At 45.6% G+C, this 20,383-nt stretch overlaps 1 protein-coding gene across 2 annotated transcripts in view, besides 6 other annotated features; it reads right to left on the reverse strand.

Annotated features, from left to right (window-relative positions):
* CREB3L2 (cAMP responsive element binding protein 3 like 2) overlaps positions 1-20,383 on the reverse strand; it is a 127,108-nt gene that overhangs the window by 103,236 nt on the left and 3,489 nt on the right. The gene's annotated exons all lie outside the window — the stretch shown is intronic.
* Positions 24-952: an enhancer, noted in NCBI's record as "H3K27ac-H3K4me1 hESC enhancer chr7:137662984-137663912 (GRCh37/hg19 assembly coordinates)". NCBI's record gives its function as "activates a minimal SCP1, AML or CMV promoter by ChIP-STARR-seq in naive H9 embryonic stem cells {active_cell/tissue: H9 hESC(naive)}" and the evidence as "EXISTENCE:reporter gene assay evidence [ECO:0000049][PMID:30033119]".
* Positions 3,259-3,308: an enhancer, noted in NCBI's record as "active region_26731". NCBI's record gives its function as "activates an Ori minimal core promoter by ATAC-STARR-seq in GM12878 lymphoblastoid cells {active_cell/tissue: GM12878}" and the evidence as "EXISTENCE:reporter gene assay evidence [ECO:0000049][PMID:35858748]".
* Positions 3,319-3,408: an enhancer, noted in NCBI's record as "active region_26732". NCBI's record gives its function as "activates an Ori minimal core promoter by ATAC-STARR-seq in GM12878 lymphoblastoid cells {active_cell/tissue: GM12878}" and the evidence as "EXISTENCE:reporter gene assay evidence [ECO:0000049][PMID:35858748]".
* Positions 8,027-8,176: an enhancer, noted in NCBI's record as "active region_26733". NCBI's record gives its function as "activates an Ori minimal core promoter by ATAC-STARR-seq in GM12878 lymphoblastoid cells {active_cell/tissue: GM12878}" and the evidence as "EXISTENCE:reporter gene assay evidence [ECO:0000049][PMID:35858748]".
* Positions 8,507-8,576: an enhancer, noted in NCBI's record as "active region_26734". NCBI's record gives its function as "activates an Ori minimal core promoter by ATAC-STARR-seq in GM12878 lymphoblastoid cells {active_cell/tissue: GM12878}" and the evidence as "EXISTENCE:reporter gene assay evidence [ECO:0000049][PMID:35858748]".
* Positions 9,709-9,818: an enhancer, noted in NCBI's record as "active region_26735". NCBI's record gives its function as "activates an Ori minimal core promoter by ATAC-STARR-seq in GM12878 lymphoblastoid cells {active_cell/tissue: GM12878}" and the evidence as "EXISTENCE:reporter gene assay evidence [ECO:0000049][PMID:35858748]".

Below are 20,383 nucleotides of genomic sequence, written 5' to 3' on the forward strand. Positions count from 1 at the left end.
AGAGATATACTCTCTATACAGAGATAACTCTCTATATATCTCTCTAGAGATTATCTGTCTATATATAAAGCAAGAGATTTTACACACATATAAAATCTGTATTTCTAACATCTTTTGAAGTCAGAACAGCTGAAAACACTGGGTCCAAATTCCTATATGGTAAGGGTCTGTTGGAGCTAAGTGGCAGCTGCTTCCTTTAAGCAGGTCCTGAACTTTCCTATCCCCTCCGTCCCTCCTCCTCCCTATGATGTCTCTGACCAGCTTCACTCCTTCCTGTGCCTGACTCCTGAGCTCAAATCAACCAAGATGGCAGGTGGTTCTGGAAGTTGGCAATGGCAGGCCCGGTACGATGTAAAGGTTAGGAAGTCATGTCATATCGTTTTCAAATAATGGTGAGTGGGAAAAGAACGTAAGACACTGGTCAGGCAGTGACACAGGGGTCAAGAAGCTGAGTGACTCAGTGTGCTGTCATTCCCCCTGGGTGAATGAGAGGAAGGGGGGCTATCCTGACTAGGGCAGTAGTGACGCAGCTGAGGCAGGCAGCTGAGTCCCCACAAAGTTTGTGTTCTTCCAACTCCTAGCCCACTGCAGCACTGGGCACAGAGTGCGGCTCAGGAAACATCTATGGAAGAGAGCCGTGGATGAAAACCTCAAGGAGAAACACACACTCATTTCACCAACTGCCTGTGAGGGCCTAGAGAGTGGCCCCATGCATGGTGGGATGAGGCGAAGGTCTGATGGCATCTCAGAGATGTGATCTGAGAACTTGGAAGCTGTGGGACAAAACTCAAGACTCACAACGAGAGCAGTAAATGATGCTACTCTGGGAAAAAGAAATTTCAAAATAGTTGCATCTTAAGTAATTGACCATATCTGCCTGGTGTGCCCTGCTGACAGAGGAACTAGCACCAAGTCTGAGCTCAGTAGGGGAAAGATCTGTGTTGAAAAACAAGCATGTTCAGGACACACAGTGAGGGAAGAATACGAGTGCTTTGTGCCTGTCATCTCTGTTCTAATTGATCACAGCTCTAGCATATTGTACCCATTTTCTTTCATGAAACTTTTCCTTTTAGCCTGATTTTCCTGTTCCTACCCTCCAGGGTCAGGATGGCAGGCTCTGCCAGGCTGACCAAATAAAGCACAGCAAGGGCGGGTCATCAGGCCAAGACATCAAAAAGCACAGGCTGCAACTGGTCCTACCAGTCCTTAGTTTAATATAAGAATGCTGCCGGCCGGGCGCGGTGGCTCACACCTTAATCCCAGCACTTTGGGAGGCTGAGGCGGGCGGATCACGAGGTCAGGAGATCGAGACCATCCTGGCTAACATGGTGAAACCCCACCTCTACTAAAAATACAAAAAAATTAGCCGGGCGTGGTGGTGGGCGCCTGTAGTCCCAGCTACTCGGGAGGCTGAGGCAGGAGAATGGCGTGAACCCGAGAGGCGGAGCTTGCAGTGAGCCGAGATCGTGCCACTGCACTCCAGCCTGGGCAACAGATCGAGACTCCGTCTCAAAAACAACAACAACAACAACAACAACAACAACAACAACAAAGAACACTGCCTGGCTCTTTCAATCTCTGGCCTTGAGACATGCTGGGACTTCTGAGTGGACAGGTATAAAAGGGATCAGTCAGAAATGGAGACAGCAGGGAGCCTGACTCAGATGTAGAACAGATCCCCAAGAAGGGATCCAGGGGAGGCCACATCAGTTTCTTGGGCTCCATCTAGCTTGATCTGGCATCAGTACCTGGTGCATGCGGATGATGGGTGAGTCCAATCAGCCTCACAGGAGGCAGCAGAATATTCTAGCCAGCAGTTCTCAAATTTTACATGCACATGGATCATCTGGGGATCTTCAGATTATAATTCAGAAAGTCTAGAGTAGGGCCTGAGATTCTGAATTTGTGACAAACTCCCAGGAGATGAATGTTGCCAGACCATGGACCATGCTTTGAGTAGTCATACTCCAAGCCAGTAGTTCTCACCTCGGTTTCACTTTGGAAGCACTGGGAGAGCTTTTAAAATGCCTGATGCCCAGGCCTCATCCCAGAACCAATTAAATCAGAATCTCTTGGGCTGGGACCCAGGCATCAAAGTTGTTTAAGCTCCCAGGTAAGTGTGATGTGCAGCCAAGACTGAGACTCTTTGCTCTAGACCGTGGGGATGGGCAGAGCAGGAGCTTCATTGTTCCAGTGGGTTCGCCTGGCCTGGGGCAGCTCAGGAGAGTGGTCACCCAGGCTGAGTTATGCAAGTGACCACAGGCTCAGTTAAAAAGGTTCCAAACTGGTGGGGGGCAACCCCAGGCCTAGACAAACACAACCAGAGAAAGGGGAAGAGAAGACTTGCTGGTGCCCAGGGCTTACCCCAAGCATTGCAGACACCTGTAAAAATCAGGCCTACTTTCAGACTTCCCCAACCAGTGGCCCAGGCTCCTAAAATACATGACATGGGATTTCTCCATACAGGCTCCAAAGCTGCTAGAGCTATAGGCTGAAGGTCCTCAGGATTTCAACTGAGAGGGAGGAGTTGGGAAAGGCAAACTAGGAAACAATTTTCCACTGGCCATCAATAAAATTCCTCATTAATTTCTAAGAGTGACCAGCTCCTCTCTTTGCCTCTCCTGCTCTTTACTGATGCACTGGCCCCTGTTCCTCCACAATGTGACCCCCCTTTGTCGCCAGCTACTCCATACATTTAGAAAGTCAATTCTGCAATTTCCAAATGCCAGACAGAAATCCCCTCCAAAGACCCTTAACGATGATGCACACCAATAATGTGACACCCTCCAGAATGCCAAGATCTGCTGAGGACCCCGAGTCCTTGCAATAAAGCAGGAGAACCTGAGATAAGATCCCAAGCCCTGAGTTCAGGTCCTCACACCTGTCAGGACTGAGCAAAGCTCTAGGAAAACCGGCAGAGTTAAAGCCCAGAGGAGGAGGGGAAGGCCTGCGTGAATGAAAGAAAGAGGAGAGCAAAGGAGACAAAAAGGGAAAGAGAAGGAGAGAAAGGAGAGGAGGAAAAGGGAGCCTGGGTGGAGAATAGGAAGGTGGAGCATGGCAAAGGCCTCCAGCATTCTTTGGGGACTGGTCAGGGGTAGCAGTGACCTAGCCTGAGGATAAACCCAGATTCTATGAGGGCCTGTGCTTTTAAAATGGATTCATGTTTACCAAGTTTTAAAAAGGACTGAAGTGACTTAGAGAAAACATATCAAATGAGGTCAAATAAAATTCAACATGGGTGTAGAGAAGGATTAGTCATGTGGGAGAACCAGGAAGTAGAGAACAAGAAAAAATAATAAGTATGGGGCTAGAAAACAGTCCAGACCCCACAGAAATTAACTAGGAAAAAAGTCACAGACCAAAAATATATACCCATGAGTCCCAGCCTTGCTCTTGAGATCAGTTAGCCAGGCAGGCAGTGGTTTAGCTCAAGGAGGGATGAATGAATGTGGGGGCCAGAGCCCTCCATTTAGAGGCAGAAAAGCCAGCTTCTACTATTGTCTGCTTTGAGTCCGAATCTTGAGAATACTCCGAAATGCCTTTAATAAGCACAGTGGTTTTTCTGGTTTATGATGTAAGACAGCCACTCGTTTCATGTATTCTCCAAAAATAGAGTTTGCTCCAAAAATAAAAAGTAAAAGAAGTCAACAAAGGGTTAGGTTTCGAGTACAGAGGCACAGGGCAGCTTTTGGGGGAAGAGCTCTCTCTCTTTAGTTCTTGGGCAGTAAGCTCACCTGCCAGCAGTCAGGGTCTAATTAGTGCCCAGCAGCAAGAGGGAGCAGAGCTTCTCTGGAATGCTCCAGGGGGATGGGGCTGCACAATGAGGTGGGGGGTATGCTGGTGGTGGACACCAGTGTGCACAGACCTGTTCCTTCTCAGCTTCTACTTTAGAGGTACAGTCTCTGGGACATTAGCTTTTACCACTGTTAGGTCAGCAAACCTTTTGAAAATGTGATGAAAGACACACATATGCACTGCACATACAATGCCCTAAAGAGCATTTCCAGAAGTTCCCAGACCCTCTTGAGGCCATAAACTCAGCTTAAGAACCTTCAGTCTGTAGGTTTTCAACTCCCACAGGTTTCTTTCAGTAGAAAACACACTGCTCTGGTCACCGCCATGAGTCCTTGGGAACCTTATGAAACTCTAGTGAACCCCCAGTGCTATGGGGTTGAATTGTGTTCCCTGCTGATGTGATTTGGCTGTGTCCCCACCCAAATCTCATCTTGAATTTAGCTCCCGCAGTTCCCATGTGTCATGGGAGGGACGCAGTGGGAAGTCATTGAATCATGGGGGTGGGTCTTTCCTGTATCGTTCTCGTGATAGTGAATAAGTCTCACAAGATCTGATGGTTTTATAAAGAGAAGTTCCCTTGCACAAGCTCTCTCTTGCTTGCCACCATGTAAGATGTGCCTTTCACCTTCCACCAAGATTGTGAGGCCTCCCCAGCCACGTGGAACTGTGAGTCAATTAAACCTCTTTCCTTTATAAATTACCCAGTCCTGGGTATGTCTTTATCAGCAGCATGAGAACGGACTAATACACCTGCAAATTCATATGCTGAAGCCCTAACCTCCAATGTGACAGTATCTGGAGACTGGGCCTGAGGGTTAAATGGGCTGAAAGGATGGTGCCCTCATGATGGGATTAGCATCTTCATTGGAAGAGGACATAGCAAAAAGGAAGAAAGAAGATGCTGTCTCTACCACAGGAGGACATAGTGAGAAGATGGCCATCTGCAAGCCAGGAAGAGAGCCCTAACCAGGAACAGAATTAGCCAGCACCTTGATCCTGGACTTCCCAGTCTCCAGAACTGTAAGAAATAAATACCTGTTGTTTAAGTCACCCATCTGTAGCATTTTATTATAGCAGCCTGAGCAGACTAATACACCCAGATACTCTCAATGCCAAAATACAGTCTACCTGTTCCCATGTGTGCCATAAGAGCCTCTGAAACACTAGTCTCCTTATTTCTGCCCCCTCCACCAACCACACGGCCCTATGACAAGGTGGTGAATGCCTTCCAGAGGACTATCTACCACACAGCCCCAGGACTGAGGAGGCTGGCTGGGCCCTCGAAGAAGGAATCTTAAACAAGAGAAGCAAGGGCAGAAATGCAACATCAGAGCTACCAGGCAGTGGGGAAGGGAAGAGAGGACAGAGACTGAAACTTCAGAGGAAACGCTGGTACAGAGCTAGTGGTCTTTTAGACATGTTCCAATAAATCTGGCTAACTTAATACTCCCTCTGCATCCATCAAGGAATCCATAAGCACTGTTGACTCAGGCTGTTCTTCTAAAGAAAACACAGCAGGCTTCAGGCAGGTGTTGTTAAATTGCTCCAACCAGGCAAAGCTGCTGACTCTCACTTAGTATTTTTACACACCATTGTGAGCCGCCAAATAACAGACCTTTATAAATCCCTGGTCAAAGTCAACTCCTCCAAGCCACCTTCCCGGCCTGGCCACTCCGTTTGCTATGGCCTTTCTTCATTGTTCGCATACCTCTCTGCTTTACCTCTCCCCTGTGGTTGTTCTGTCCGCCCTACTAGGCCTTCACTCCTCAGGGGCAGGGACTGAGTCTTGCATGGCTTTTTCATTCCAGAAGGCTGGATTCCAGGTTCTGCACTCAGGGGCGGCCCAGTCATTATTGTTGGCCGGCTGCTTTTCCTGAGAAAGCACAATCGGGCCTTTTGATTCCCATCCGCACACTGCCCGCTCCCTGCCACTCTGCTCTCCAGTGAAGGAACTTCTCGGCCCACTCACATTCCAGGCACAGTTTGGGGATCAGGGGATGAGCAGCCACACCCAGAAGTGCCAAAAAGTGCCACTGAGGTTTTTGGCTGAACAGAAGTAGAAGGAAATAAAGTAGCTCCCTTATCTGTGAGATGCAGGCGTCATTCTCAGCCATCTCACAGGTCCCGACCAGACCTTGGATTCTACAAATTTGGGAAAATGTTATTTTGGGATGTGGTGGACACTGCTGCTTGACCACTCAATATCCATCCTACCCGTCTTCCTTACTATCAGACACCAATTTTATTCAGGGTGGCAAGTATTAAGCTAACACACTCACACCTTCCTGGCCTCTTTTGCAGCTAGGGATGGCCAGTGAAACCTAACGGGAAATCTGCTGGAGGCCTCAGAGAAAGCCCTGGCTTGTCCTAATATAGGTACTACCCTTTCTGCTTTGCCCCGTCACTTTCTTCCACCAGTGAGGCTGATGTTACGCTGGAAGTGAAGCAGTCATCTTGTAGTCATGAGGACAAAGGTGACAAACAGCCTCACGGGAAGGGCCCCGTTGGCCCTGATCAAGCACTACACTAGCCCTGGAGGGCCTAGCTCAGGACTGCTTGGTTCATGAGATAAATAGGCCCTTACATGTTTAAATTACCAAATGCTCAAGCCAAGTGACAGATAAGCTTGTCATCTTCATACTTTTATTCTTCTTATTTTGTTGCTCCTGCAGCTTTTTGTTTGGTTTTTCTAAAAGCAAACTTGGGTCGAGTAATAGTTCCTCAAAAAAGCTATGGGGGAATAAAAAATCTACCTACCAGGATATTTTTCTTTCGGTTGGCAAATACCAAAGAACAAACTTCTCCATGAAAGGAGTCTGCGTTTCATGAAAGATCAAAGGTCTCAAAGTCTCCCAAATTGCAAACTCTTCTACAGTAACGTAGCCCAGTAGAGAAGAGCCATCAGGCAGCTCATTAAAGCTTGTCAGCCTCAATAGCTAACATTTTCTTCCTTTCTCATTGAACTCCATTATCAGCAATGAGTTTTGCGGGGAGCTGGGGGTTTTGTTTGTTTTCTTTTGCTTTTACTTAAAATAAAAATGTGTAACTTAACTTCCAAGAGACATTGAGATTTGGGCACAGTTTTCAGTCAGCTCCCTCTTCAAAGACCTACTGCAATTGCCAAAGCAATAATAAGACATTATGGAAAGGGGGAAGGGGGCCCATTCACACGCCAGAATCTCCATATAACCTCTGTTTGATAAAATGCTAGTTGGTCCAGATAAATGGAAGGCACAGGAGAGCAACTTAGAACCTGATTCCCAAGAAAGCAGGACTCAGAGAGGTTCTCTCGCTCAACAATATGTACATCAACTGCTTGGGAACAGCCAAGGCTAGACGCAGTTCAGGCCAGGGGTCGGAGGAAGAACGTGGCTTAAATGCCTTTGCTGCAGTGTATGGACAGCATTCCAAAGGTGCTCTGCCAGGAAGCCCCAGGCCTCGTGGATGGAGAGCGCTTCAGCTTGTCCCTGACACTGCAGGCAGTAGCCCTACCAGGACTGCTCAGTGCCATCCTGCTGTCCCCTACTCACCTTCCTGCTGTTAACAGACCCCTAAACAGGTCACAATCAGCCCCAGAAAGACTATTTTCATTAGGAAAAAATAATGTAAGTGACCTCAGTGTCCAGTGATAGATGGTGTTTCAGGAAATGACAGGGACATGGAACAAGCCGTCCCCTTCTTGTCTTCCCTCTTGTAACTTAAAGAGTGCTAACACCTGCTGCCAACCCACCCCCTCAAAACTGACAAAAACATTTCAGTTCCTCAGAAGCAGGTGCCTGAAAATTTGAAGTGTTAATTCAGTCATGCAAATCAATACCAGGCGTTGAACCTAAGAGGATTCAGGTAAGAACTGAAGAAATATTTCAGGTCTTTTTCCCTAAATGCCTTTCACAATTAGGCCACAATTCAGAGGTCTTATTCTATTTACTCATTTTATCCATGAGTTCAGAATGCAGCAAAAATTTTCTTCCTAGGCCTCTCAGAAACTATTGGAGAAAAAAAAATAGAAGAAAGGAACCGAATATCCCCCATCTAGCGGCCACAAACCAGACATAGTGACACTTTACTTATGTCATTTATCTTCCTCCACCATGGCCTTGTGAAACAGTCTCAGAAAGGTGCTCACAGTAGGGAGAGCCAGAACCAGATTGTAAGCCTAGACTCATTCATTTGTTCATCCATTCATTCACCAAACATTTTACTGGACACCTACCATGCGCACAGCACTGTTCTGTTAGCTGGAGATAAACAGCAGTGAATAAAAGAAAGTCTCTGCTTTCACGGTGTTTCCATTTTGTTAGACGAGAAAACAGACAAGCACACTTATCAGGGCTTCCCAACAGGTATGCCGGGGAGTGCCCCAGCTCCATGGGACTGGGAAGGAGGGCAAGTTGGCAGCAGAGGCTGGAGCGACTGCACCCCTGAGATGGATTCCACCCACTATGATTAGGCTCATCCATTACTTTGACACAAAGCACCATGCAGATATCATCATTTTCCATGACTGCCATGACAGCAGGGCTCGGGGATACTAAAGAAATCATTTGCCAGTGGTGATAAGGGCTATGAAGTTGTGCTGACCGCAAAATCCCTGCTCCTCCTACCAACTGCCTTTTCCAGTGGTTGAGCAATCTGCAGACAAGAGGACAGTCAGAATCCCACACCGAAACTGGGAGGGTGGGAATAAGAAGCTGAAACTTCCTCATGCTCCATCTACCCAGCCATCCCACCCTCATTTCAGTGTCCTCCTAGAAGTCTGTATTTCAGTCAAAAGGAAACACTGGATTTCGACGTGCCTCATGTTCCTCAGCTTGTAAACACAGCTGAGAAACCAAATGGTTTTTTGGCAGCTACGTTTCTGCCCCTCTCTTAGCACACAAGAAAACGTGTCTGTGAAGACTGCCTTAGAACATGATGCCTCGAGCCCAAGGGCGACCCCACTGCACCATGCAGGTAACATCACAGCTGTGCTGCAGCTGTTCGCCTGGAGCTGGTTTGGGCCTTGGCCTCCTCAGCCCACTGCCCCAGCTCTCCCAGCGGCTCCAACATGGGTCTTGGGCTGCAGGAGAGCCTGGAGAGAAAGCTTGCAAACCCAGAGTGGAACCAGAAAAACAATTCCTGGCAGTGCCTCAGAAATGAATACCATTCAGGGGTAGGAAGTAAAAAGTCAAAACTACAAAGATCGGAGTCAGGTTCTTTGGTTACAAAAAATATATACTGTTTCCTCACTAGATCCCATCTCTTTCCAAAGGATAACATCTACTGCCTAAGTCATCTGTAACTGGAAAGAGGGAGGGAAATGCCGCACCACAGTTTGACTTTTTAATGGTACTGAAATCTATAGGTCTGTGCCTAGTCGTTTGAATAAGTTTTCAGTAGCAAAAAAAAACAAAAAACAAAAAACAGGATACAGTCTTCGGTGTTCAAGGCTTTTGTGGCCAATCTGGCTTCTTGCTGGACTACAAAGGGAGGCTTATCTGTGACTAATCTCTAAAAATTAAGTTTAAATCAAAAGCTGCCACAGGTGACCCCAGCTTATGACTCCATATGCCAAAAGTCTGTAATAGCAGGATGCTGATGGTGGGACAGGTTTTGTGTGTTGGGGAGACAAGAGATACACGGGAGCTTTTTGTATTTCTGCTCAATTTTGCTGTGAACATAAAACTGCTCTAAAATGCTTTCTGTTTTTGGAGAGACAGGATCTGGCTCTGTTGCCCAGAGTGGCGCACAGTGGCACAATCATGGCTCACTGCAGCCTCAACCTCCTGGGCTCAGGCGATCCTCCCACCCCGGCCTCCTGCAAGTAGCTGGGACTATAGACATAAGCCACCACACCTTTCTCTACCTTTTTTAAAAGTTTGTAACACGGGTGGTTCAAACTCACAAGACATTTTCTTACTGACATAATGTGATAAAAAGTCATCTGTTTCCCAGTCAGGCCTCAGAAACCCATTTAATTCACCACACAGCTAAACTGTGGAGTGAATCCTAAACTCTGTGTCTCCTTCAAAGAGCCTGCTCTGCTCTGGGCTGTGAAGGGTGGCCCTTTCCTCCCTGTGCAGTCTGAGGCAGAATTCTCCTTCCTCTGCACCCACCTCTGTCCTCAGTACTCACATGCCCGACCTCAGGCCCAGCTGAAGGGCTTCCTCCTCCCACACCTGTTCCTCATGTCCCTGACAGGCCTGAGGGCCATGACAGGAACAGAGATTCAGTGAAACAGAGAGCAAGGGCAGAACCCAGAATCCAGCCACGGCACGTGGGAGGCACAAGAGGGGAGCAGGGATGTGTCTGGCCAGAGTGCCTTTGCGGGTCCTGAAACCTGGGCATTGCCAGCAGCTGCTCATTTTCTTTGAAGCTACAATTATTTACTTAATGTTCCTTCTGCAGGCTCATATTCTTATTACAAAGCCATTTGTCCTCACCTGTCCTTATTATTATGTCATACAAAAATGGAACCAATTAGGGCTTGTTTCTATGTTTCTACCACTTGAATATTGTTGATGCCTCTGTGATCAAACTCATTTTCGGCATTCAGTGGATCCACCTGATACTTCCTTAGTGGAAGAGTCAGAAGAATAAAGAGAGGAAAAGACTCACACCTTGGAGTCATGTGGTGAATCCCAACACTCTTGAACAGGTTAATGAGTACAAAGGCTATCCTTTTGCAAAGCCCCAAAACTAAGAACTGCAAATGACACAGTCACAAAACAGACACATGCACAAACTCCATCCAGCCGATGGGAAGGACATCCAGAGATAGATGGACTTATCTGGAGAGAAGAATGATGAAAGGACCCTCAGAGGCCAGGCTCAGTGGCTCACGCCTGCAATCCCAGCACTTTGAGAGGTGGAGGGGGCAGGATGGCTTGAGCTCAGGAGTTCAAGATCAGCCTGGGCAACATAGCAAGAAAGGAAGAGAAAGAGAGACAGAAGGAAGGAAGGAAGGAAAAAAAGGAAGGAAGGGAGGGAGGGAGGGAAGGAAAAGAAAGAAAAAAGAAAAGAAAGAGAGAAAGAAAGAACCCTCATAAAACTACACAAGCACCAATGAACCAGTGATGGTCTCCAATGCCAATTTTGAGGACTGATATTAATCTTGTTCCAAAAAAATCAAAAGAGGCAGCGCTGTGTTCTACACTTTGTCCATTTACTCTGAGTTCCTGGCCTTCTGCAGTTCGTGCTCTCGCCTGGAAACCAGGCCTCTCCTTCCCAGCAGAATGCCACATCCCATGCACACAGGTCTGCTACAGAGAAGACCTGTGGCTACAGAGACACAGACACCGCCCTGAGCTAACATGCTAGTAAGTCCTCAGGGGACTCGGCGGTCAGCTGAATAGCACACTCAACCCTTATTTGTACTGACCACTCTGTAGCGACTCTCCCCTATTTTGGAGCCTATGATGGAATTTTCCTGGCTTTTCTCCAGTTTTTTTTTTTTTTTTTTTGATGATTCTTTCTGGGTTCTATCTGTAGGGTCTTCTCCCTGGCCAATCCTTCTGGTGCCCCCAGGGCTCCACACTCAGCCCTTCTCTCAAACTCCTCCCTCTCACTCTAACCTTTCTGGACTATCTTATATGGATTATTGGCTTCACTAATCCCTCACCAGGATCCTAACACCCAAATCTACATCTCCAGTCCAGACCTTTCTCCAGAACTCCAGACCCAAGTCTCCAAATGCCCTTTACGTGTCGCTCCTGTGAATGTTCTGCAAGTACACCAGAATTACTGTGCCTGAAAGTGAACTCATTATCTTCCCTGCCAAACTCATCCTCCCTCCAAATACTCCCATTCAAGGTCAACGGCAACACCGTCAACTCAGCCTTCCAAGCCAGAAAACAAGAAATCTCCCATAGCCCTCATGCCCTGTAATCACATCTCCAGTCTAACCTCCCCTATCCTCTCTTGAATTCATCTACTCCTCCCTGTTGGGTTCAGGCCCTCATGGCATCTTATTCTACTCCATGGATGAAATAGCCAGCCAGAAGATCAACTTGTCACTATCAATTCTGCCGTCCAGTCCATCCTTTCTAAAATACATTTCTGCTCCTGTCTGGTCTCTCTTGTTAAAAGCCTCCCACCTTCCCGCTTACAAAAGAATGTCCAAGTCATTTGCCAAGCACACAAACCTCTCATGATCTTGTGGTATCTCCCAAGACTCCCCATAGAGCACCCTACTCTCAAACTACATAAAATGACTTGGGATTCCCAGGATCAGTCATGACTTTTTCCACGTTCCTATTCTGTAGCTGCTGTTCCCACTGCCTGGTGAACTCCTATGTATACTTCAGCACCCATTGCAAATATCACTTGCTCCTCCATGAAGTGTTCCCCAACTCTTCACCCCCTTCAGATTTGTCATTCCATCCGCTTTGCTACAGAAATACTTCAAACACAGCTCTCATGCAAAACATGTATCAGGCATTTAATGACTTATAATTTAATGACGCATCTTCCTTCCTACTCTACTTGGAAAGCCACAGGTCAAGAATGTTTATCCCCTGCCTAGAACAGGCACATGCTTAGACAAGCAGCTTGTTAAGTTCCTCGAATTGGAGGAAGGACCAGCTATGTGAGAGGTTTCCCCAGGATGCAAACAGACAGGATGCGAGGGGAAGGAAGGAGTTAATGGCTGAACCTTTAAAACTCTATGATTGGTAACCTTGGATTTAAATTTCGGTTTAACACAATTGGCCACTGAGAAAGCATTTTCATCACAAATCCTATTTCCTCCAGGTTTTCTAAAAACATCACCCTATCAGTTTGAATCCTGCAAGCTCTTTCTCAGCCAAAAGGAATTTCCCTTTAAACAAAAACTATTCAGACATTTCCAAGATATGAAATGTGAAAAACCAGGATTTTCCACTCAGACAACTAGGAAACTGTTTGCAGATTTTTTTTTCCCCAGACTCCTCTTATTTGCCAAGGAGTCTGAAGGGACTTTTTTTTCCAATGTTAAAAAAATGTTTCCTACCTCTGTGTCTCTGTTTTTCCATTCTTTATTTTGTCTGGGTTTCACTTAAACAAAGTTTTAAGTCAGAAAACAGAGACTACAAAACGCAAAACTACACCTGCCAATTGAATTGCCCAAATGAAATACACAATCGACTGAATGCTGCTGGTGCTGCTGTCGTCGTGGCTGTCATTGTTTTACATAGCTTTTTTTTTTTTCTTTTTGGGGACGGAGTCTTGCTCCGTCACCCAGGCTGGAGTGCAGTGGCATGATCTCGGCTCAATGCAAGCTCCACCTCCCGGGTTCATGCTATTCTCCTGCCTCAGCCTCCCGAGTAGCTGGGACTACAGGCACCCACCACCACACCTGGCTAATTTTTTTGTATTTTTAGTAGAGACGGGATTTCACCGTGTTAGCCAGGATGGTCTCGATCTCCTGACCTCGTGATCCACCCACCTCAGCCTCCCAAAGTGCTGGGATTACAGGCGTGAGCCACCGCGCCTGGCCTTAAATAGCTTATTTTTTAAAGATTCTTCAGTGGTAGGGGCATAACACATGTAATACCATTGGGATTTTGAGATCATGTAATAAAAATGTAGAATTTACAAAGTGATCACCAAAGACGTGAAGTAAATTGTACTGTGATGAGTTCATAGATCAAAAGGCACGGCCGAGCACAGTGGCTCATGCCTGTAATCCCAGCATTTTGGGAGGCCAAGGCAGGTGGATCACTTGAGGCTAGGAGTTTGAGACCAGCCTGGCCAACACAGCGAAACTCTGTCTCTACTAAAAATACAAAAAATTAGCCAGGCATGGTGGTGGGCACCTGTAATCCCAGCTACTCGGGAGACTGAGGCACAAGAATCACTTGATCCTGGGACATGGAGGTTGCAGTGAGCCAAGATCACGCCATTGCACTCCAGCCTGGGCAACAGAGCAAGACTCTGCCTCAAAAAAAAAAAAAAGCTTTATCCTCCAAAGAAAAACTCTCTTCCAAGAACTACTGTTAATAATTCTAACAAGAATCGGGCATTAAAATATGGATGGTTCAGAATAACCCATCTCAATTCTTTAAAAAAAAATCCCCAAAGCTCTTCGTAATATCAGTAAAGTTCAAATAAACAGATTACACCTACACCAGAATACAGCAACTCAAAAGCAGGCAATTCAACATGAGGTAACTGTAGCTGAGCCCCAGAGCAGCTGTACACACAAGAGGAAAATATGGTACGTGATCTAAGAAGTTACGTCTCACTTTTGAATTGACCTTCCACACAGTCGAAAAGATTAGACCTACCCCCACAGGATGCCACAGAGGGTTTCCCAAGCCAAAGTACAAGCAAAAGTCTAGGCAAAACACAGCTTGCCTCTAATGAGTGACACGGACTGTAGAAGCAGCTGAATCCCAGGAATGACCCATGAGCTCCTCTTGGGTTTACACTGCAAGAGAGCTGAGTCACTCAACATGCCCTGAGATAAATGGGTGCAGCGATAAGAAGGATCAACATCCCAGCTCTTCTTTGAAACACATCAAGAAACACATGAAAATTCAAGGGTTACCCAGCCAGAGCTGTTCTGCTGCTCAGGTGGACCTAGCAGGCTTGAGTCAAACTCCAAAGATCTGCTTTTCGTCAAAAGACAAATAACAAGTATAAAAAACTGAGAACCAGATGCACTGAAGTTTATAGCAGAGCCCAGGGGAACATACAGAGAGAAGAGAAGGCCAAGTACCAAAACACTCACATTTAACAGCTGGTATGGAAGCCAGAAAAGGAGGAAGAACTAAGCTTGCCAGAGTGTCATGGAAGCCAAAGCAAAAACGAGTTATGAGACAATCCTGTGGTCAGTATTGCCAAATAGTCCCATGAGGCCCTGCAGGTAAGGACAGAGAAAAGACTATTGGATTTAGCAGCCAGGGAGAGGTTGAGCAGTAGGACCCAGCGGGCAGAGGATACAGGGTAGAGACTAAGGAAATGGAGGCCATGGCTGGTGACCACGCACTTGAGAAAACCTGGCAGTAAACAAGAGAAAAGAAATGAGTAAGAGGGAGCATCTGGCAAACATGTGTTCAAGGCAGAGGCCTGTGTTTACAGCACAATGTAGGAGCTGGAGAGGAGAGGAAATAAAGATGCATGAGAGAGAATAATGACAGGCTCTCTCCACTTTCTGAATGATGTCAGACTCCTAAGGTTGGGACACCTTGTTCTCAAAGAGAAGACATTTGACTTAGGGGATAGGTTGGAAAAGTACTTCTATTATGGATCAGGCAGTGACATGCAAAGAAACTGAAATCCAAATAGGTGAAGTAATGTACCCAAGGTCACCAGAGAGCCTGTGTCCCTCAACATCAAAATGGCCTGCCTTGAAAGCCCACCCTTTCCACCATGCCATCAACTCCACTCCCACTGGAAACAGGGACTGTTTCAATCACCCCACGCCCACCTTGTTCTCTAATCAAAACAAGAAAAGATATCAACACTGAATTACCCAAGTCACTATTATACTGAATTTTCACATTTGCAAAACCGTTTACAAGAATCCAGAGTTTATTTGTTTGTTTGCTCATTTATTTATTTATTTTGAGACAGGGTCTCACTCTGTTGCCCAGTCCGGAGTATAGAGGCGTGATCACAGCTCACTGTAAACTCAACCTCCTGGGCTCAAGCGATCCTCCTGCCTCAGCCTCTGAAAGCGCTGGGATTACAAGCATGGGCTACCACGTCTTGCCCAGAGTTTTAAAAATATATAAAAACAGGCCAAAGCCACCCAGCTTATCCATTTTCCAGGACTGCCTCACTCTACTTAACTATGCATCAAGCACTTACGATTCTCTGGGCATCCTGCACTTGACTAAGGACCATGAGGGTATAGAAGAGACAGTCATGTCTCCTGTCCTCAAGGAACTTGTGCTGAGCAAATCTCTACTGCTCTATGTCTTACATTCCCCATAGATAAAATGGCCCATCTTCTCCCATGTGCCTCATGAATAACCTATACAATTTGATTCAAGGAAAAATCAAGATCCCTTAGCACTTCATTTAGAAAGGCCAGGGTGCATCCACTGAGCAGGGAAAAAGAGAAATAGGCTCAAGGTTGATCCAGAGACAGTGGGTCTCATTATTTCCTTTCCATCCTGATTCCACAGGGGCAGAAAACAAGGGCAGCACTCCCTCACTCATAAGATCACTCATTTGGACAATTCAGATGCCCTGCAACCATAGGCCTCAATCCTACCAAATGCCCAGCTAAGGCTTAAGGCTATTTACCCCAAGAGAGTCACCAGACAGCGTAGAGCCATGTCAGGCTGAGGCCGGCAGTTTTAGCTGCAGACAGGCACATGTGCCCTCATCAATATTTGAACAGCCATATGCAACTGGAAAAATTGCTTCTTTGAAAAATGGCATTTAGCTTGCCACCTGCTGTCGATCCCAAACAGAACAAATCATTCTTGTCCTGCATGGTAAGCATGATTACAGGCTCAGCTAGCTACCTCCAGCCCTGGTATTCTACTCTGACGCCAAGAGTCCAGATAATACAGTTAATTCTACATCTCCTAGTTAGTGAGTCAAGACATAGCCATAATCTCCTCCTGGCTCCCACCCCTCCCTAGCCTTTCCCTGCACTTTCAAGAGGCTATTTCTACATCTATAGTCTTCTTTCACTGGGCATTGGTAGCACAGCTAAATAATATTCTTAGAACTTTGCTGGGCCGGACGTGATAGCTCATGCCTGTAATCCTAGCACTGTGGGAGGCCGAGGCAGAGGATCCCTTGAGCCCAGGGGTTCAAGACCAGCCTAGGCAACATAAGGAGACCCTGTCTCTATTTAAAAACAAAAAACAAAAGAACTCTGCGAGTGGCACAGTACTTGGGTTTACTGTTTTGCGCCCAGGGCAAATTACTGTGAATTTTAAATTTTCTAGTTGCTAGCCCATGTTCATGAGAAAAGAAACATACCTTTTGACTAAGGAAAGAATTGTTAACTCAGACTATTTTACTAATGATCCCAATGGTCATGCTGGTTGAGTCTCCATCCCCATATGATTAATCTAAGCTGATAATATAAATCCCATTCTCCTTTCCAGCCATTGGCTTAAGAATGGTCATATGACCGAATCCTTACCAATAAAGCTTTAAGAAAAATCAGCTAGTGGGCTAGTAAGAAAAGTTTCTTCCATTCTAAAAAAGGGACACAAGAAAGAGACAACTTCTCTTCTTCCTCTGGATGTTGTCATTTTGAATGTAACCCCTGTAACTCCTATGTCCATCACACATCCAACCTGAGGATGAAAGCTGCACATGGGCAGAACCAAGGTCCATTGAGGAACTGCTGAATCAGCCAACAAGGAGCTCTATTTCTTTTTTTTTCTTTTCTTTCTTTTTTTTTTTTTTTTTTTGAGACAGAATCTCACTCTGTCACCAAGGCTGGAGTGCAGTGGCATGATCTTGGCTCACTGCAACCTCCACCCCCCAGGTTCAAGGGATTCTCCTGCCTCAGCCTCCCGAGTAGCTGGGATTACAGGCGCCCGCCACCACGCCCAGCTAATTTTTGTATTTTTAGTAGAGACAGGGTTTCACCATCTCGGCCAGGCTGCTCTTGAACTCCTGACCTTGTGATCCACCTGCCTTGGCCCCCCAAAGTGCTGGGATTACAGGCGTCAGCCACCGCGCCCGGCCAGGGGCTCTATTTCACAACCTCTTGCAACATGAGATAATTTACTTACTGTATGAGCCGATCTGAATCCATTTTCAGTTACTTCTAGCTGCAAGCACTGTAATTAATTCAATTATTAATCTAGATGCTATATCTTATAACTCCTGCAAAAGCAATGTCACATCAGAGACCCCTGTTTCCCATGAACACTGTAACTCAGGGATCATTCGAGAAGGAGGGCAAATATAAAACTCTGTACTGCCCTCTCATCTTTCAGGACTGTGCCTATGTCTACCACCTCCCAACCAATGTTACTATCATGAGAACAATTTCAGAGACAGTAAAATAATCCGTCAAAGATTTTTTGCTAAGCCAAGGGAAATCCTCTAGATCATAGACAAATTAGCAACACATAAACAAGGCTGCCTTATGAATAAGAGCCACATTATGAAATAATGGAGGGCAGTGAGGGTTCCTCTCCCATTCCCCAAATATTCGCCCACTACTACCTGGCTATCGCCCTAGGTTCTCCAAGTGGAGATTCACCCTTTTGACCTGAAGTAATTATTGTTAAATATAAATGCCCATTTAGGGTTAACATGTTAAATCTTACTAACACTAAAATTTCTAGTGAAAGCTTATCAAATCTTTCCTGACAGCAAAATTTGAAGGGATGAAATTGGAAAGAGAACATTACAGTGAACACTTGATGTCTAAGAAAGGAGGGGAACACAAAAGGGGCGAGAATGTTGAAAGGTGCCACAAGGGTCTGGAAAAATTATACTTACTTCCCAATTCTGTCTCCCGTTAGAACTCACTACATTTATTCAGCTTGTGGAGGTCATGTGACCATAAGTAATAACATTCTCAGCCAATGAGGACCCGGGTGCCCCTTCAGAACCTGGCCTGGGGCCAACCCTAGGAGTTAACTCCAAAGTGGAACATCAAACCAAAAGCTTCAATATCGCATTGAAATCATATCACTCTCCGGGCCAGGCGGGAGGAACAGGAAACCACACAGTCTGTGAGATCAGCCAACTCCTTTTCAGCACTCAGTAAGACATGGAAGCCAGATGGCCTTTCCATCTGGACACCAGGCAGGTCGAATATTCCCCCAACTCCCTACCTACCACTGTCTGGGACCAGTGGTTTCACTTGAAGAACCAACCAGATATAAAACTGTATTAGCATAACCACCAAATGATTTTACAAATAACTTGGCTTTATAGGAATTCTGCATTTTAAACAAGCAGAACTTCTGTTGTTACTTTCACAAAGACTTAGTTTTTATGATACACTTTTTTAAAAGGATATAATCATGGCGAAAATTGCAAAAATTGTTTTATTTTCCAGATGGCTAAACTGAGATAGAAGAAAGGAGAACATTATCAAGATCTTGATGTTTATCATGGGCAAACCACCTGCCAACCTCTCCCCCTAAAGCCTCTTTCCATGGGGCCTTCCCACTTCCCCTGTTCTTCATCCAACGCCTCCACTGACCTTGAGTGGTGTTGAGTTTCTATATAGTACTGAAGCTCCCTTTTTCCCCCAAGAACACTTGGTTGAAAATTACCTCTAGTCCAGTTTTACATGGTGCCTACAAGTTGTATTTCTTCCATTTTCTAGACATAGTGACGAGGTAAAAATCTGAATAGTACCAACAGGTATAGTGTGTAGACATGCTTCCCTTCATCTCTTGACTTCCACTTCCCCAAGCTGCTTTCCCAAAAATTATCCACTTCTTGAGCATCCTTCCAGATACAGTTTATACATATATAAAATACATTTTAAAATTTATAGATTATTTTGCTCTTTAAATTGCAAAAGGGGGCTGAGCACAGTGGCTCACACCTGTAATCCCAGCACTTTGGGAGGCCAAGGCAAGAGGGTCCCTTAAACCCAGGAGTTGGAGACCAGCCTGGGCAACATACTGAGATCCCGTTTCTACCAAAAAAAAAGAAGAAAAAAATTAGCCAGGCATGGTGGCACACACTGATACTCCCAGCTACTCTGGAGGCTGAGGTGGGAGGATCACTTGAGCCTGGAAGGTTAAGCCTGCAGTGAGCCATGATTGAGCAACTGCACTCTAGTCTGGGTGTCAGAACAAGACCCATCTCAAAAATAAAATAAAATAAAATAAAATAAAATAGAAATTACAAAAGCACAGACAATTCCCAGAAAGTAATTTTCAGAGAATTTTATAGGAATACAATACAAATGGCAGAAATGTCCAACATACAGGCAGGTCTGGGGAAAGAGGCAAGGTTTCTTCTCACGGTGGTACCGAACCCCAAGAGATATTCTCCTGATTTCTAGATTTGCCATCTTTTCTGAACCAATTTTAGCCTGTATTCCATCTTGAAGCAACAGCTTTCCTAAAATCAGTACTCACTGAATTAAAATAACATTTCATCATCTGTATGGAAACAATTTTTTAAGCTTCAAGAGGAAGCCCAGAGCTTTAGCAATTCAGGATCTAATGATCAGTCCATCTTTGCCCTATCCATATGCTTCATTATTTTGTAGACTCTGAACCTGTCTGCCTTTGTCCTTGTAGACCAAGATGTCTTCATAACTAACCAAATGAAAAAAAACATTGCTCCTAACGGTTAACAGAAGGCTCCTGAGAAACATCATAATCTCAGCCTTGGGTAACTTGAACATTCTAAATTGTTTAAATCAAGTATGTGACAGGTTTGCTAAAACAGAGCATTAGCAATCATGCATGTAGTAACTAAATCCCTAGTAAGAGCAACAAAAGTGATCTCACTAGGAAGGTTTGGTGGCTGCCACTGTCAGCCTCATTTAAACATTAGCTGCTTTCAGGCTCAGCAGTTCCTATATTCCAATCACTCTCTCCCAACCTCTTATTCAGTTCCTTCTCTTTAAGTCAGGATTCTTCACTCAGACAGCCTGATAGGCAAGTACTTGCAGGCAGGCAAACATGGGTTTGAATCCTGGTTCTATCACTAAATAGCTGTGGGAACT

The sequence above is a fragment of the Homo sapiens genome, chromosome 7 (genome assembly GCF_000001405.40).
Source record: "Homo sapiens chromosome 7, GRCh38.p14 Primary Assembly".
In the NCBI taxonomy this organism is placed as follows: domain Eukaryota; kingdom Metazoa; phylum Chordata; class Mammalia; order Primates; family Hominidae; genus Homo; species Homo sapiens.